The sequence below is a fragment of the Homo sapiens genome, chromosome 3, assembly GCF_000001405.40.
Source record: "Homo sapiens chromosome 3, GRCh38.p14 Primary Assembly".
Lineage (NCBI taxonomy): Eukaryota > Metazoa > Chordata > Mammalia > Primates > Hominidae > Homo > Homo sapiens.
The window spans coordinates 129167568-129183941 of NC_000003.12; the positions used below are offsets into that span (position 1 = coordinate 129167568).

Here is a 16374-nt window from a genome sequence, read left to right on the forward strand (position 1 = left end):
GCTGTGATTAACGCAGGAGAAAGTATTATTAATGAGAACTAAGCTGACCTGAAGAGCCATAACAACATATCCCATTTGCTATGTTTTAGGTTTTCCTACATGAGGCCCAGAATTTGGGGGGAAATAACTCCATGTGCACACCAGCCCCCAAACCTCATTTAACAGTGATGCCTTCAAAAATAAATCTTTCCCCCAACCTAACAGTGATGCCTTCGAAAAAAAGTCTTTCCTTATGCTGTTTCATACATATGGTAGAAAATAAAATTGTCAAGATATTTATTGTGTTAACATGTGAGACATACAATTTGCTCAGTAAAAATAGCACATGAAAAAATATTATAAGCTTATATTCATAAAGAAATGGGTATGTTATTACCTCTTTTTCTTGCTTGCTCAGGACTATTAATTTGACAAGGTTGGAATGTGCACAGCACAGCTGAGACACCACCATTTTAACACTGAATCACTATACCATGAACTGACAGAACCCTGCATGAAGGATGAAAAACTCATACCCAAAGTCAAGAATCACACAGCAGCATGGAGGGGGAAAATGAACTATATGATGCTAACCGCATTTAATTTCGAAGTGGGGGGAAACAGGGCATGGGGAGTGAATAATGGTTGAAGTTCCAGGCTCTAACTGTACATCCTTAAGTAAATTAAGTTTAACTCATCTATTAAAAAGTGAGTTAAAACAGATGAGTTTTAAGGTCCATCTCAACTCTAAATGAGACACTAGCAAAAACAAGGAATCCACCACTTCAGATCCTTATGAAACCCAGGAAAAGGTGGGGCACAGTGGCTCACCTGAGGGCAACAGTTGGAGACCAGCCTGACCAACACAGTGAAACCCCATCTCTACTAAAAATAACAAAAATTAGCTGGGTGTGGTGGCGGACACCTGTAATCCCAGCTATTTGGGAGGCTGAGGCAGGAGAATTACTTGAACGGGGTGTGGGGGTGGGGGGTGGAGGTTGCAGTGAGCTGAGATTGCACCATTGCACTCTAGCCTGGGCAACAGAGCGAGACTGTCTCAAAAAAAAAAAAAAAAAAAAAAAAGGCCCAGGAAAAACACAAAAATAGCAATGGTATTAAAACTGTTCAGAATCGGCCAGACACGGTGGCTCGCACCTGTAACACTAGCACTTTGGGGGGCGGGGCAGGTGGATCACCTGAGGTCAGGAGTTGGAGACCAGCCCGACCAACATGATGAAACCCAGTCTCTACTAAAAATACAAAAAATAGGCCGGGCGCGGTGGCTCACGCCTGTGATCCCAGCACTTTGGGAGGCCAAGGCGGGCGGATCACGAGGTCAGGAGATTGAGACCATCCTGGCTAACACCGTGAAACCCCGTCTTTACTAAAAATACAAAAAAAAAAAATTAGCTGGGCGCGGTGGCGGGTACCTGTAGCCCCAGCTACTCAGGAGGCTGAGGCAGGAGAATGGCACGAACCCAGGAGGCGGAGCTTGCAGTGAGCCGAGATCGCACCACTACACTCCAGCCTGGGCAACAGAGCGACACTCTGTCTCAAAAAAAAATAAAAAAATAAAATAAAAATAAAAATACAAAAAATTAGCGGGGGGTGGTGGCGGGTGCCTGTAATCCCAGCTACTCAGGAGGCTGAGGCAGGAGAATTGCTTGAACCCGGGAGGTGGAGGTTGCAGTGAGCCAAGCCTGCACTCCAGCCTGGGCGACAAGAGTGAGACTCCGTCTCCAAAACAAAACAAAACCACCACCACCAAAAAACCTGTTCAGACTGAACACAGAACTCAAGGGCATTATTATAACAGATTACAAAGTGAATTTTCTATAGCTTTGCAAAAGTATCTAAATCCCATACATCCTTTTAACAGCAATTTTCATTATTGAAGACATGACTTAAGTACAAAAAGAAAAGTCCAAACTGTCAGCTTTCAGTCCTCCACATTCCCCTCTTTAATATGGTATTTTGCACTATATACATTAATGAAAATTTGAAACAAACAAAAAGAACTTTAGTCAAACTCCCCTTCCTCCTCCAGCTTTATTGGAATAGTTTAAAATTACATTTCTATTTTCTAGGACTTCAGTTGCTCTTTCCATCTGACTTTTAAAAACTGATTACAGCAAATGAAACACAGTTGTCTAAGTGATATAGTATACAAAAATAACATCTTGATTTCTGTGAAAATGCATTTCTCTGCAATTCCTGAATAGCTCCAAATTATGCTAACTCTGAGCATTGATGTTTACTCTGGGTTTTAGATTTAGTCTTTGAAAATAATGTGTTCTAAACCTTTGCCATCACCATCTATGTGTCCAACATCAACACTGTGATGAAGTTGTTCCTGTTTAGGCTTTTATTCCGATTTCTCTCGAACAGCCATTAACACGCATGTTTATCTTTTTGTTTACTCCCACTCAACTGTATGTTCTATGTAGGGCCTGATACAGATGTTACTTGATGTTATTTAATAGCTACTGAGGTCAGACAATCCAAGACCATCATTATACTAAAATTAAAGTTATTTATGGAAGTTCATAGACACTTCCAGAATTGGTTTTACCTCCTACATGGGAACATGTTCAAGGAACCCAGGACGGGCTTACTGGTCTGACTCAACTCTTCCCATTCATCAATCCCTATTCACCAGTGGCACGGAAAGGGGGTTCTTTAACAAAGCATTATACATAACACCTCTACCAAACTAAACATAAACTTTTTTTGTAGTTAAATGCAGAAAGTCGGTTTTTTTCCACCCCTTTCCTCCTTTTACACGGCAAGTAAAGCTCACTGGCCTGGGAGTTGCCTCTATCTGCCAACCTTTGGCCAGTGAAGAGGATTCAGAGAAAATAATACAACCATCAATCAGAAAAAGGAGGGGCGACAAAGGAAAATAATTAGGCTGTAGCCTCAATTGTGCATTCCCGTGCAAGGTGCCCTGACTCGCCACAGCGGTAACAGTTGACTTCACTTGTCTTGCTGCAGTTGATGGCTACATGACCAGTTTCACCACACCTAAAAAAGAAATTAAAAGTTTTCACAATGGGCCTCAGAAAAAAACTGTCTACCAAAGCAACAGTCACCATGCAGAACAAAACGCCTGATCTTTGTTTTCATGCAATTAACCCCTAAGGTTTCACAGATATGTACACAACAACATTTATCAAATTATACACTTACATGTCACAAACAGGCAAAGATTTCTGGTTACATGATAAAAGATTTATGTATATTACAGAGCTTTCTATGAAGTCTCTGGAAGTTTCAAATTATAACACTCTTACTTTTATATATTAAAAAAGTCCAGTTGTGAAAACTGCCCAGGTACCATAAGCCACAGGATATCAGGGCAGAATACAGAATTATATACAGATAGACTGCCAGTTACATATGCTGAAAATTGGTCTTATCTGGTCACAGCTAAGTTTCACTGAATTTACTAAGGCCCTTCCATTTATAGCTAATTCATCTCTGGAAGAATCTCTGCAATGAGTTTTCTTCTAACAACATTCTGACACCTTACCTATAGCACTTCACTTTGGTGCAGTCTTTTTGAATGTGTCCGAATTCTCCACAAGAATAGCATTTCTGCTCATCTGCATGGTCGCAGTCACGAGCCAGATGGCCTGGTTTGCCACAGTTGTAGCAGCATTGCTCTCGCTCTCTCTTGGGCTCCTTGCAGTCCTTGGCAATGTGGCCACCTCTACCGCAGTTATAGCAGGCTTCAACAATAAGGAAAAGAAACAGGCCAAGACTATAAAACCTTTACAAAGTGTTACGTTTTAAATTATACAATACAAAACCTCAAAGGTGGAAATGCTATACACAGTTGCATGTGCTCACCTCTCCAAGCTCTAGAGGGGTATGAAAAGGAAGTGTTAAATACTTACCATCCTCCTGAAGATCACAATCCTTGGCAAGATGACCAGACTCACCACAGCGATAACAAATGTCTGGAAGAGACGAGGAAACAAACTGGAAACCTGTTTTGAGCAAAAACAAAGAATTCGGCTAGTCAGACCAGTCTTGATACTAACAAATACTGAAGTACTTCAAATTTTTCTATTCGACAAAATACCTCTATCCGAGGTAAAACCACCTCTGCCACGGCTTCTCATTCCACGACCACGGCCTCCACCAGTAGGACATTCCCGGGCCCAGTGGCCAGATCGTCCACACTTGAAGCACTCATTGCTGCTCATGGCTGCAGTCAGATCTTTGAAATATTAAAAGTAACAGCATTAAACCACTGAAAGTTCTTTTAACTTTTATTCTCTATTAAATGTATTTTTGGAAAATTATTCTGGGGAAAAAAGCTAGCTAATATATTGGTTAAAAAAATAGCTGGGCATGGTGGCTCACGCCAGTAATCCCATCACTTTGGGAGGCCGAGGTGGGTGGATCATGAGATCGAGACCATCTTGGCTAACATGGTGAAACCCCGTCTCTACGAAAAATACAAAAAATTAGCCCGGTGAAGTGGCAGGCGCCTGTAATCCCAGCTACTTGGGAGGCTGAGGCAGGAGAATGGTGTGAACCCAGGAGGCGGAGCTTACAGTGAGCTGAGATGGTGCCACTGTACTCCAGCCTGGGCAACATTGAGACTCTGTCTCAAAAAAATAAAATAATCACACAACTACATGATTGGGTATTATAGACTTATTATAATATACACCTTGATAAAAGTGATGGAATTTACAGGGTTAGGGTCAATGAAAATCCATTAAGAGAAATAATTGGTAGTGGCTGGGCACGGTGGCTCATGCCTGTAATCCTAGCACTTTGGGAGGCTGAAGCGGGTGGACCATCTGAGGTCAGGAGTTTGAGACCAGTCTGGCCAACATGGCGAAACCCCGTCTCTACTAAAAATACAAAAAACAGCCGGGCATGGCGGCATGCGCCTGTAATCCCAGCTACTCAGGAGGCTGAGGCAGAAGAATCGCTTGAACCCGGGGGGTGGAGGTTGCAGTGAGCCGAGATCATACCACTGCACTCCAGCCTAGGGGACAAAGTGAGACAGACAGGCAGGCAGGCAGGCAGGCAGGCAGGCAGACAGGCAGACAGGCAGCCAGGCAGGCAGGCAGGCAGGCAGGCAGGCAGGCAGACAGACAGACAGACAGACAGACAGACAGACAGACAGACACACACACACACACACACACACACACACACACACACTGGCAGTAATACTCATTCACTCATTCCAAGTCCAACTTAATGGACACATTTGCATGGTTATAAGGCCTATATAAGCTTTATTTTGGGCAAATAGAAGTCATTTATTTACTCACATCAAAAAATTGGAATAACCCAAACCAATGAAGCTGTAAAATGGATTCTCGGAGTGAGGAGTCAGTGAAGGAAAATACTCTCTTAACCTTAGCACCTGACGTAGTACCTAGTTATACTGCAGCACTTGCCTGGTGACTGAGATATTCCTTAGAACAGATATGTTAAAACAAATGCAAGATACAAATCTTATCTCTAGATGGTACAAGTACAGTAGGCCCTCTATATCCATGGGTTCTGCATCCATGGCTTCAACCAACCTTGGAATAAAAATATTCAGTGGAAAAGTTGCATCTGTATTGAACATGCAGACTTTTCTTGCCATTATTCCCTAAACAATACAATGTTAACAACTACTTATTCAGCATTTACATTGTGTTAGGTATTATAAGTAATCTAAAGATGATTTTAAAGTATATGGGAAGATGTGCAAAGGTTGTAATGCAAGTACTACACTATTTTATATTGGGAACTTGAGCATAGGAGGATTTTGGTATTTGAGGGAGTTTGTGGAACCACTTCACAGATACCAAGAGATGACTGTATAATAAAAATAGTAGGAAAACGACCATGAGTTACACCAAAGCGCTAATAATAGCACCTACAGCACTGGCAACATTTGTGTTTTGTTTTCTTTTATTCTCCCCTTTCCAAATGTTTCTGTAATGTAATTTTACATTTTAAACAATGCTACTTAGAATTTCATAATAAACTCCTTTAATTGGTTATCATTTTAAAATAAAAATAAAACTCCCACTAAAGCAAATGGATTTTGTACTTATGTAACAATCTAAAAATAAATTGAGGCTATTCTTAAAATAGAATGAAATGGAATAGAACATAATGAAAACAATGCAACTACATTTTCACACTTCCATATCTAAATATTTTTACCCTTAATTCCACTGTCAAACAATGGCACACAAAGTCGTATTTTAAATATCCTCTCAAACCTAAGCACAGGCACCATCATCTAGAAAAACATATTTCCAACTGAGTAAAACTTGAGTGGATAATCGAATTAGCTAACCTAACCACAGTGCCAAAGACCCAAAACGCAGTCCGAAAAATGGCAAGGTTCTCCACTTTCAGTAACTGTTTAATCATTAACTTGTGGACAAATTTAGTGACTTAAAATTACACTGAAGTTGAGTTTCAAAAAGTTCCCATTGTCAAATATACAAAAGAAAATAACACAATACTCACTTACCCCAACTCTGTGTAATCTGATTTAGGATAAATTCTTAGAGAAATCTTTCTACTAACTCTTGCCACTTGCCTATGAACATATTACCAAAAAAATTATATGGCTATGAGTTACTGGTGCTTTCAGATATACAAAACATTTCTAGTCAGAACAAACAGCCAGTGAAGGATATTAAAAACAGATTTTTACAGAATTTGAAATAGTATCTGCTTTGTAATCATTCTTTTAACTGTACTAGTATTAGCATCCTAAATTATGTGAAGTATTTGCTGGTTTCCACCACAGAAGAGTCAGAATTAAAAAAAAAAAAAAAAAAAAAAAAACGAATGGCGGGCAGGGCACGGTGGCTCACACCTGTAATCCCAGCACTTTGGGAGGCCGACGAGGATGGTTCACCTGAGGTTGGGAGTTCGAGACCAGCCTCACCAAGAAGGAGAAACCCCGTCTCTACTAAAAATGCAAAATTAGCCAGGCTTGGTGGCTCATGCCTATAATCCCAGCTACTCAGGAGGCGGAGGCAGGATAATCTCTTGAACCCGGGAGGTGGAGGTTGTTGCAAGCCAAGCAATTGCACTCCAACGTGGGTTACAAGAGTGAAACTCCATCTCAAAAAAAAAAAAAAAAAGGCATATAAAATGGTCAAAGAAAAAAGGCTGCTTATGGCACCACTTCCTCCCCATCTTCATTTTGTATCTTCTCCAATTTAGTCAGATCAGCTTGAGCTCATTTAACTATTGATCTCAAGGAATTATTTGCACATAAATGATTACTTTTACAGTGTAATCCAGACAATTTGCAAGGCCTGAATATCTTATAATTTAATATTTAAACAAGATACATCTCTTTTAGAAAATACAAAACAAGGATGGGCACAGTGGCTCACACCTGTAATCCCAGCACTTTGGGACGCCAAGGCAGGAGGATCACCTGAGGTCAGGAGTTGGACATCAGCCTGACCAACACAGTGAAACTCCATCTCTACTAAAAACACAAAATTAGGGCAGGCGTGGTGGCTCACGCCTGTAATCTCAGCACTTTGGGAGGCAGGCGGATCATGAGGTCAGGAAATCAAGACCATCCTGGCCAACATGGTGAAACCCCAAATCTACTAAAATAAAAAAATTACCCAGGCGTGGTGGTAACGCGCCTGTAGTCCTAGCTACTCGAGAGGCTGAGGCAGGAGAATCGCTTGAACCCGGGAGGTGGAGGTTGCAGTGAGCTGAGACTGGGCCACCACACTCCAACCTGGGTGACAGAGCAAGACTCCGTCTTCAAAGAAAGAAAGAAAGAAAAAAAACTATTCTGTAAAACAGATATGCATCTCAGTGGCAAAGGCAGAACTTTACACACTAGAATATAACAGAAGTTTTAGATGTTTTGCTTTTTTTTTTTTTTTTTTGAGACAGTCTCGCTCTGTCACCAGGCTGGAGTGCGGTGGCGCCATCTTGGCTCACTGCAACCTTCACCTCCTGGGTTCAAGCGATTCCCCTGCCTCAGCCTCCCACATAGCTGGGACTACAGGCGTGCACCACCACGCCCAGGTAATTTTTTGTATTTTAGTAGAGACGGGGTTTCACCATGTTGGCCAGGATGGTCTCGATCTCCTGACCTAGTGATCCACCCGCCTTGGCCTCCCAAAGTGTTAGGATTACAGGCGTGAGCCACTGCGCCCAGCCTGTTTTGCCATTTTTAGTCACACATAATTTTGTTTACTAGAGTAAATTAATGCTAATAAAGAAAACACTAAGTCTTAAAAGGGAAGAAAAACATTAATAGCCTCCAAATGTCATCAACATGACACGTGATTTTAAAAGAGGTCTTTGAGTGGCCTTAGGTACTATGTATGCAATCTGCCCTCTCCTCCCTTTGGCTAACCCTATCGCAGTGAATCAGGTGGTCTACAGTTTCACTGGTAACTGGTCCCTTGTGATAGACTTGTCTCTTTAATAACATTATTAAACTAACCACTTTCCACAATGTTTTAGACTCACACTACTTATATTAGGCAGCAGGTCCCCATCCTAGCACTCATCTCATATGAACATTATTTAGTTTAAAGGTCTTTACAGAATTCCATGATATTCCTTAGGAAAACTAAGGTAAGGTAAGACAGCTGAGAATCATGGCTCCATGAGTCTGTCTCATTGCCTGTGACTGCTCCTGGCTGGAATTTCACTGCACTGTCCTGGTCTCCCCTGCTCCTTTTCCACCTGTCACAACTTTTTCCAACCTTCACGGGCCAACTCAAATGCCAACTCTATAAAAGAATCTGACTACATCTCCCAGCCTGGAACTACCCTCCCTATTAAGTCCCAAGACACTTTGTTAATATCTGTCTAATGGCAGTACCATATTGCCTTGTATCATATTCCTTGAAGGTAGAGACCAAGTAATTCACCTTTGAATCATCGAACACCCCATATAGTTATCCTTTTAGTAGCCATTATGTAACTCAGTATTTTAATTCTAGGGGGACAGGTGTCTTTAGCAATTTGGTGAAACTAACTGACCCAATCCAATCTAATCAAGTACTAACAACAAAGCACCTAAATTATTGCTATCAGTCACAAGAGTTACTGCACCATTAATTTAAAGTAATGATGTATTCTCAATTTTGTACTCACTAAGGACTGACTACAGTCACTCTCTGAAACTCTCAGCTTTCTGAAATCATAGGTGAGATTCTGCCCAGATGAATTTAGGATCCACAACTTTCAGCTTCTGACAGGGATTAGGGCCAACCACTCAAAGGACATTCCCAATGTAATTTTTTTTTAAATCCACTAACAGAAGTATCTTCTACTTGTCAATGTTATTTTGAGGATTCCAATCTATAATAAAGCAAATACTAGAAAATATCAAAGGAAGAAAGCTGCTGAATCATAAAACCATGAAAATTAGATTTCAGATTATCTAACACAATCCCCACGTGTGGCTGAGAAATTTACACCCAAGACAACTAAAAAAGCCAGCAACCAGGCCAGAACCTCTAATTTGTCATCCAGGTTCTGTTAGTCCAAGAATTCATAATCAATTGGATTTCAGTACTATTTTATGCAAGCTACAAACATACATGCTAACTTCAATAAAAACCAAAATACTGTTTTTCACTTTTGTCAGGCAGCAGGAAAACACTTAAGTTTCTTCCTTTTGCTAAAAACCACTAATATAAGGCACCACTTACTGAAGGTTCCTTGGGTTTGTGTTTTCTCTGGAAAAAATTTTTCGTGAAACCTGATGTACGTATACTGCACTGATGTAGCCTGCCTGACACTGTAAGAGATTTTGGAACCATACTCAACCTGGGTTAATCACTTAACCCAGTTTAACTACTTGCTGTGTTACCTCAAAGACATCTGACTACCCATCTGTGTCTTATTTGTAAAAGGGAAATAATAAAACTGATGTGTGTGGTAAGAATTGTTACCTTGTGCTTAATAGATATTCAATTTAAAAACCAAAGTTTTGGTCTTCTGAGTACATATTCCTTCCACTTTCGCCAATTACCTTGGATTGCTTACAGAGAGTAGACAGAACTCAGTCCAATGTCTATTACATAGCAGGTTTAGAGTGAGGCTAACTGCTTATACTTGTTTCCCACCTTACAGTCTATTTCCTGAATGGAATGGAGAAGAGATTAAGAGGAGAAACACCGGTGATTTCCAAATCAGTTCACATTTTCAACCACCAGACATCAAGATATTTGTCCTAAGTTTCCATTTTTGTGTATCAAATGTTTATGACACAAACCACTTTAAAGGGTGGTAGGAGCACAGGGCATGTCAGGCAAGAGAAGAAATGACTAAGATAGTCAAGATAAGGTCTGGGCCGGGCGGGGTGGCCCACACCTCTAATCCCAGCATTTTGGGAGGCCGAGGCAGATGCATCACCTGAGGTCAGGAGTTCGAGACCAGCTAGCCAACATGGTGAAACCCTGTCTCTACTAAAAATACAAAAATTAGCTGGACATGGTGGTGCATGCCTGTAATCCCAGCTACTCAGGAGGCTGACGCACAAGAATTGCTTGAACCCAGGAGGCAGAGGTTGCAGTGAGCCAAGATCGCACCACTGCACTCCAGCCTGGGCAACAGAGCAAGACTCTGTCTCAAAAAAAAAAAAAAAAAAAAATAAGGTCTGACAAGACTTAAGATTTACTGTGAGGAGCCATGTATGCTAAACTAAGAGGTGTAACTATTTTACACATTTTGAACTTATCTTGGAATTAAAGAAACCACAAATGGTTAGTATACTAATTTGTCTTCCTTAATGTCAGTACTTGTACCATACTATTGATACTAAAAACAAATATAGTAAACTACTAAAATCTAACAGTATGTGGTCAAGACTAACAACTAGGGTTCTAATAAATAGAATGTTCATAACTCTGTCCTAGAAAATACATTTAAAATAAAGTAGCAACAGGCAAGTTGGAGATAAAAATGACACTAGCAAAGTAGGGTATGATTCTGGCTATCTTTATTATTTTATATGGTTTTCTAACACAGCTGTACACATTCACATTTGTATATATGCTTACTTTTCGCAAGCTCAGGGTTATCCCTGACTCATTCATGTTGTTCACTTAACTGCATTTAGACCATACTGGAGCTTTTGCCCTCTGAATGTATGTAAGTATGCACATTATTATGCTCCGTTAAGTCAGTTTACTGTCCCAACATGGTACTGAAACACTTCAGATTTTTTTTTTTTTTGAGACGGAGTCTTGCTTCGCCCAGGCTGGAGTGCAGTGGCACGATCTCGGCTCACTGCAAGCTCCACCTCCCAGGTTCACCCCATTCTCCTGCCTCAACCTCTCGAGTAGCTGGGACTACAGGTGCCCACCACGACGCCTGGCTACTTTTTTTTTGTATTTTTAGTAGAGACGGGGGTTTCACCGTGTTAGCCAGGATGGCCCAGATTCTTTTAATAAAAACGAACTATGGGGGCCGGGTGTGCTGGCTCACACCTGTAATCCCAGCACTTTGGGAGGCAGAGGTGGGTGGATCACCAAAGGTCGGGAGCTCAGGACCAGCCTGACCAACATGGAGAAATCCCGTCTCTACTAAAAACACAAAATTGGCCGGGTGTGGTGGCCCGTGCCTGTAGTTCCAAATACTCAGGAGGCTGAGGCAGGAGAATCGCTTGAACCCGGGAGGCAGAGGTTGCGGTGAGCCGAGATCATGCCATCGCACTCCAGCCTGGGCAACAAGAGCGAAACTCCACCTCAAAGGAAAAAAAGAAGAAAAAAAAAGCAATGAAAGGAAGCAATATACTTTCTGTATTACCTGCATTCCAGCCAGAATAATGGAAAACAGAGTACTTACTCGGGAGCAATTCTGTATTTTTATCCTGGTTCCTGAACTTACTGCTTGACCTTGGTTAATTACATCCATTTCCGCCTGCCCTGATTACTTCTTGAAGAGTTTTAACAGCTGGATATCTATGAGTCAGTCATTAGTAAACATATCTATAATCTTACAACCTCACGAGTTATGTATTCTTGCTCCATTTTAATGACAAACTAAACATCTGACACTGGCCAGGGGCAGTGGCTCATGCCTGTAATCCCAGCACTTTGGGAGGCTGAGGAGGGAAGATCACTTGAGGTCGGCAGCCTGGCCAACATAGTGACACCCCATCTCTACTAAATATACAAAAATTAACTGGGCGTGGTGGTGCATGAGGCAAGAGAATCGCTTGAACCCAGGAGGTGGAGGCTGCAGTGAGCCGAGATCATGCCATTTGCACTCCAGTGTGGGTGACAAAGCGAGACTCCGTCTCCAAAAAAAACTAAAAAAACAAAAATTAGCCGGGCGTGGTGGCACACGCCTATAGTCCCAGCTACTCAGGAGGCTGAGGCAGGAGAATGGCTTAAACCCAGGAGGCAGAGGTTGCAGTGAGCTGAGATCCTGCCATTGCACTCCCGCCTGGGCGACAGAGCAAGACTTTGTCTCCAAAAAAAAAAGAAAAGGAAAAAAAAAGTTAAGTGGTAAAGTACACAAAAATGCTATCGTAATATATGACAAAAATGCTATTGTGTAATATTTTTAAGGTAGGGAATTATACCAATTCAATCTCTACTTCAAAATATTACATAAAGGTATTACTACTATATATCTAGTAACTAAGAAAAAAAAAAGCCACGCACATTTGAATTGTAATGCTGTAAGTATTCATTCTGTATTTCTCTTTAGATAAAAATCAAAGTAAAACTAATACTGATAGCTTTTTAAAAGATCTACAGTCATAATAATTTTGAATTCATTCACACAGCTTTCTTGAATCTTAAAAAATATTTTCTTTAACTTCATGGCAGAACTTAGGAGTCTCACCAAACACACAAACACTGGCAACTTGCTTCACTAGTTAACACCTCATTTGTATTTATGGAGCCATTCCAGGTGATCACTGTAGCACTCTCATATTCCTAATTAACAAAATCCTTCTAATTACAACTTAAAATTTGGTGGCCTCAAGTTCTCACTTTATTATCTCAGTAGTTTTAAACATGAAAATGCTGCATAGCTTACTGCAATCACTCAATGGCATTCCCTTGCTGCTGCAGCATCTGACACTGCCAGAACAGGAGTTCTATTAAGTGAGACAGTAAGGAAAGAGCGTTCTCCACATAGCAGGCCAGGATGCCTTGGCATCATTCTTCTGGCTCTCTACTTACTGTCAGGAGGCTAGGAAGAGAAAAAGGAACCAATCTTTTTTTTTTTTTTTAATTTTTCATCCCTGCAAGGAAAAAAAAGCAGAATCTCTCTGTGGTCAAATCTTCAGCCAATAGACAAATCATTCCAATTAGTCCAATGGTGGTTTCACTGCTTTTAGGCACCAGTTTGGTACTATCCCATATACGTGCCACATATTTTTATTGAACTTTAAAAGACAAGTAGAATTGTTGGCAAGGCACGGTGGCTCAGGCCTGTAATCCCAGCACTTTGGGAGGCCGAGGCGGGTGAATTACCTGAGGTCAGGAGATCAAGACCAGCCTGGCCAACATGGTGAAACCCCGTCTCTACAAAAAATACAAAAATTAGCCGGGCGTGGTGGCACACGCCTGTAATCCCAGCTACTTGGGAGGCTGAGGCAGGAGAATTGCTTGAGCCCGGGAGATGGAGGCTGCTGTGAGCCGAGACTGTGCCACTGCATTCCAGCCTGGCCGACAGAGAAAGACTCTGTCTCAAAAAAAAAAAAAAAAAAAAAAAAAAAGACAAGTAGAATTGTCATAAATCATGTAACAAAACACATTTATACTTTAAAAAAGACATCTCCCTGCCTGTTCCAGATGTTCAAATGCCAGTTTAAGAAAAACCTGGCCAGGCGCGGTGGCTCCTGCCTGTAATCCTAGCACTTTGAGAGGCCGAGGGAGTCGGATCACAAGGTCAGGAGTTCGAGACCAGCCTGGCCAACATGGTGAAACCCCGTCTGTACTAAAATACAAAAACTAGCTGGGTGTGGCGGCGGGCGCCTGTAATCCCAGCTACTTCGGAGGCTGAGGCAGGAGAATCGCTTAATCCGGGAGGCGGAGGTCGCAGTGAGCCGAGATCGCGCCACTGCACTCCAGCTTGGGCGACAGAGTGAGACTCCGTCTCAGAAAAAAAAAAAGAAAAACCCCTGGTCTTCCACTGATTTGGTTCAAAATATTTTACAGACTGCACCATCTGAAATACATTACCTCTCCTGTTACCAATATGAAAAAAAAGAGGACCTTTGGTTCCTCAGAAAAACACAAACTGTTATTTTTTTAAAGAAAAACTTATCAAGAGATGAAATCGGAAAAACTTAAGTCTTTAATTCTGCCCTTGGGAATGTAATAAATTATTCCTTTTATATTCCAATACACAAAGAACTCTTGTAGACAAGAATCAGGCTCAACAAACTAAAAACAGCATGTACCTAGGATCCTGGCAGTTTACAGGTGTTTGATTATCCTTAACCAGAGTAACTCATTAGAAGCATTTAAAACTATTTAGGAGGGGGGAGGGGGAAGCCCAGGAGATAAGTACTATATCTCTTATCTTTTTGAAACCCTCAAAGCTCTACACTCCAGTTATACTGCTTGAACAAACAAATAACATAAAATTGCTAATTTAAATTCGAATGGAAATAGTAACTGGTTACGTTTCACTCCAAAATTGGGTCAAACAATAGGAAAGGGGGAAAAATCTACTTTTAAAAATGTAATTTAAAAGCAAGATGGGGATATTCATTAGACCTCCTTCACTTTGAGAAAGACAAAAAACAAATTCAGTTTTGGCTTATCTCACCTGAGTCCTTCTGAATAATGCCTGAAACACACTAGCTAAAATCACAGACGATTACTGAGCAATGTTCTCTTTTTACAAGACCCCCAAGACCAGAAACAGTCACTTCCTTTGGAAGTGCCCTGTGGCTGAGGCCATATGGTTAACATGTGGGAACAAGCACAAGCCTTACCCATAATAAAATCAACACCTAAACCCAAATGTGGACCATTATGCCATTCTAAAACAGGTTCTCACGATATGGAAAAATCTAGATGGAGGGGAGCTAGTTGAATTTCGTGTCTCGTTTGTAATTACATCTGTTTCATTAATCCAAGAAATGATGCAGACTACCGCCCGCTGCTGTGGTTTTGGAGGTTTGACAAATTCGTGTTTTTTCTGGTAATGGCGCTTTTAAAGGATCCCAGCAACTTAAATAGTGTTAACTCTTGGAATGTGAGCCCCATCAGCCCCTTTTGGAATGGTAATGTAACACAAGCAACTTAGTATTTAAATGACGATAAAAATTCAAGAATCGGAAAACTATCAAGGATAGGGAGTATAAACTCTAAAAGCTCCCAAGTCTTCCAGCAGTCTCGCCACTCCAAACACAAAGGCTTCTTCAGGAACCCTTTGTTGTTGTTTGTTTGTTTGTTTGTTTGTTTTTTTAAGACGGAGTCTCTCTCTGTTGCCCATGCTGGAGTGTAGTGGCGCGATCTCGGCTCACCACAACCTCGGCCTCCGGGGTTCACGCGATTCTCCTGTCCAGCCTCCCGAGCTGCTGGGACTACATGCGCCCGCCACCATGCCCGGCTAATTTTTTATTTTTAGTACAGACCAACTTTCACCATATTGGTCAGGCTGGTCTCGAACTCCTGACCTCGTGATCCGCCCGCCTGGGACTCTCAAAGTGCTGGGATTACAGGCGTGAGCCACCGCGCCCGGCCTAAGAACCCTTTTCTAAGGCCCCCAAAACCCTTGGCACATGGCCCGCCAGGCGCACGACCCCAGCACATGGCCTGCACGACTATACCCACCCCATCCCCCCTTCATCCGCAGCCGGGAGCCTTTCCCCACCACACGGACTCCTTCCAGTGAGTTCCCGCCAAATCCACCCTCGGTCCCTCATTCCGCGACCCTCGAAGCGTCAGGGCCTCGGCCCCAAGGGCGCACGGGCGGGCCTCCTCTGCCCTAAGCCTGCGGCCTGGGGTGCGGCCGTGGCGCCGAAAGACCCGCATGCTCGGCGACCCAGCTTTCCAGGACGAAGAAAGGACAGAAGTGTCGTCCGACAGCGGTGCGCCAGAAACCCGGGTCCGAGGCGGCGGCAGCAGCCGAGCTTCCCGCCTGACGCAGCAGAGGCGCAGGCCAAAGTGCGGCCGCCATCGCCACCTCGCCGCTCCCTACCCTCTCTGTCCGCCACAGACCCGACCCGCACTGCGGCTCCGTCAGCGCCGGGCCCCTCCCCCAGCCCTCACCTTCCGCGTCGGAGCGGGCCCGCAGCGGCGGAGACTCGGACGCAGGCCTGGGGAAGACGGCTCGCAAGGTAGAGGCTGTTTATTTTGAGGGTCCTTGCCTGCGCCACACGCGGGTCTGCACACGGCCCCACATACGCCGCTGCGCACGGCTCTCCTCCGCCTCGCC

General features: G+C 42.6%; 1 protein-coding gene across 6 annotated transcripts, besides 6 other annotated features; it reads right to left on the bottom strand.

Moving 5' to 3' along the window:
* Positions 260-16329, bottom strand: CNBP (CCHC-type zinc finger nucleic acid binding protein). Of its 6 annotated transcripts, none has more exons than NM_001127196.2 (5): positions 16209-16329; positions 4088-4204; positions 3879-3971; positions 3512-3710; positions 260-3003 (listed from the first exon to the last, which is right to left on the bottom strand). In NM_001127196.2, exons 2-5 carry the CDS (start codon positions 4188-4190, stop codon positions 2886-2888), a joined length of 513 nt encoding a protein of 170 aa, NP_001120668.1. In that variant the 5' UTR covers positions 4191-4204; positions 16209-16329; the 3' UTR covers positions 260-2885. The 6 variants fall into 6 exon arrangements, with proteins under 6 accessions (NP_001120668.1, NP_001120667.1, NP_001120666.1 ...); NM_001127195.2 differs by having other exon boundaries at positions 3512-3713; NM_001127194.2 differs by having other exon boundaries at positions 3512-3716.
* Positions 5006-5165: a nucleotide motif, noted in NCBI's record as "nucleotide_motif; DM2 repeat, (TG)18(TCTG)10(CCTG)8GCTG(CCTG)TCTG(CCTG)TCTG(CCTG)7TCTG region found on the minus strand relative to the reference genome". NCBI's record gives the evidence for it as "COORDINATES:manual assertion [ECO:0000218][PMID:22723857]".
* Positions 5006-5166: a biological region, named in NCBI's record as "myotonic dystrophy type 2 repeat instability region".
* Positions 5010-5092: a tandem repeat.
* Positions 5058-5089: a repeat instability region, noted in NCBI's record as "repeat instability region; expansion of the (CCTG)n tetrancucleotide repeat (CAGG on the opposite strand) is associated with myotonic dystrophy type 2". NCBI's record gives the evidence for it as "EXISTENCE:Southern hybridization evidence [ECO:0000078][PMID:11486088]".
* Positions 5093-5128: a tandem repeat.
* Positions 5129-5166: a tandem repeat.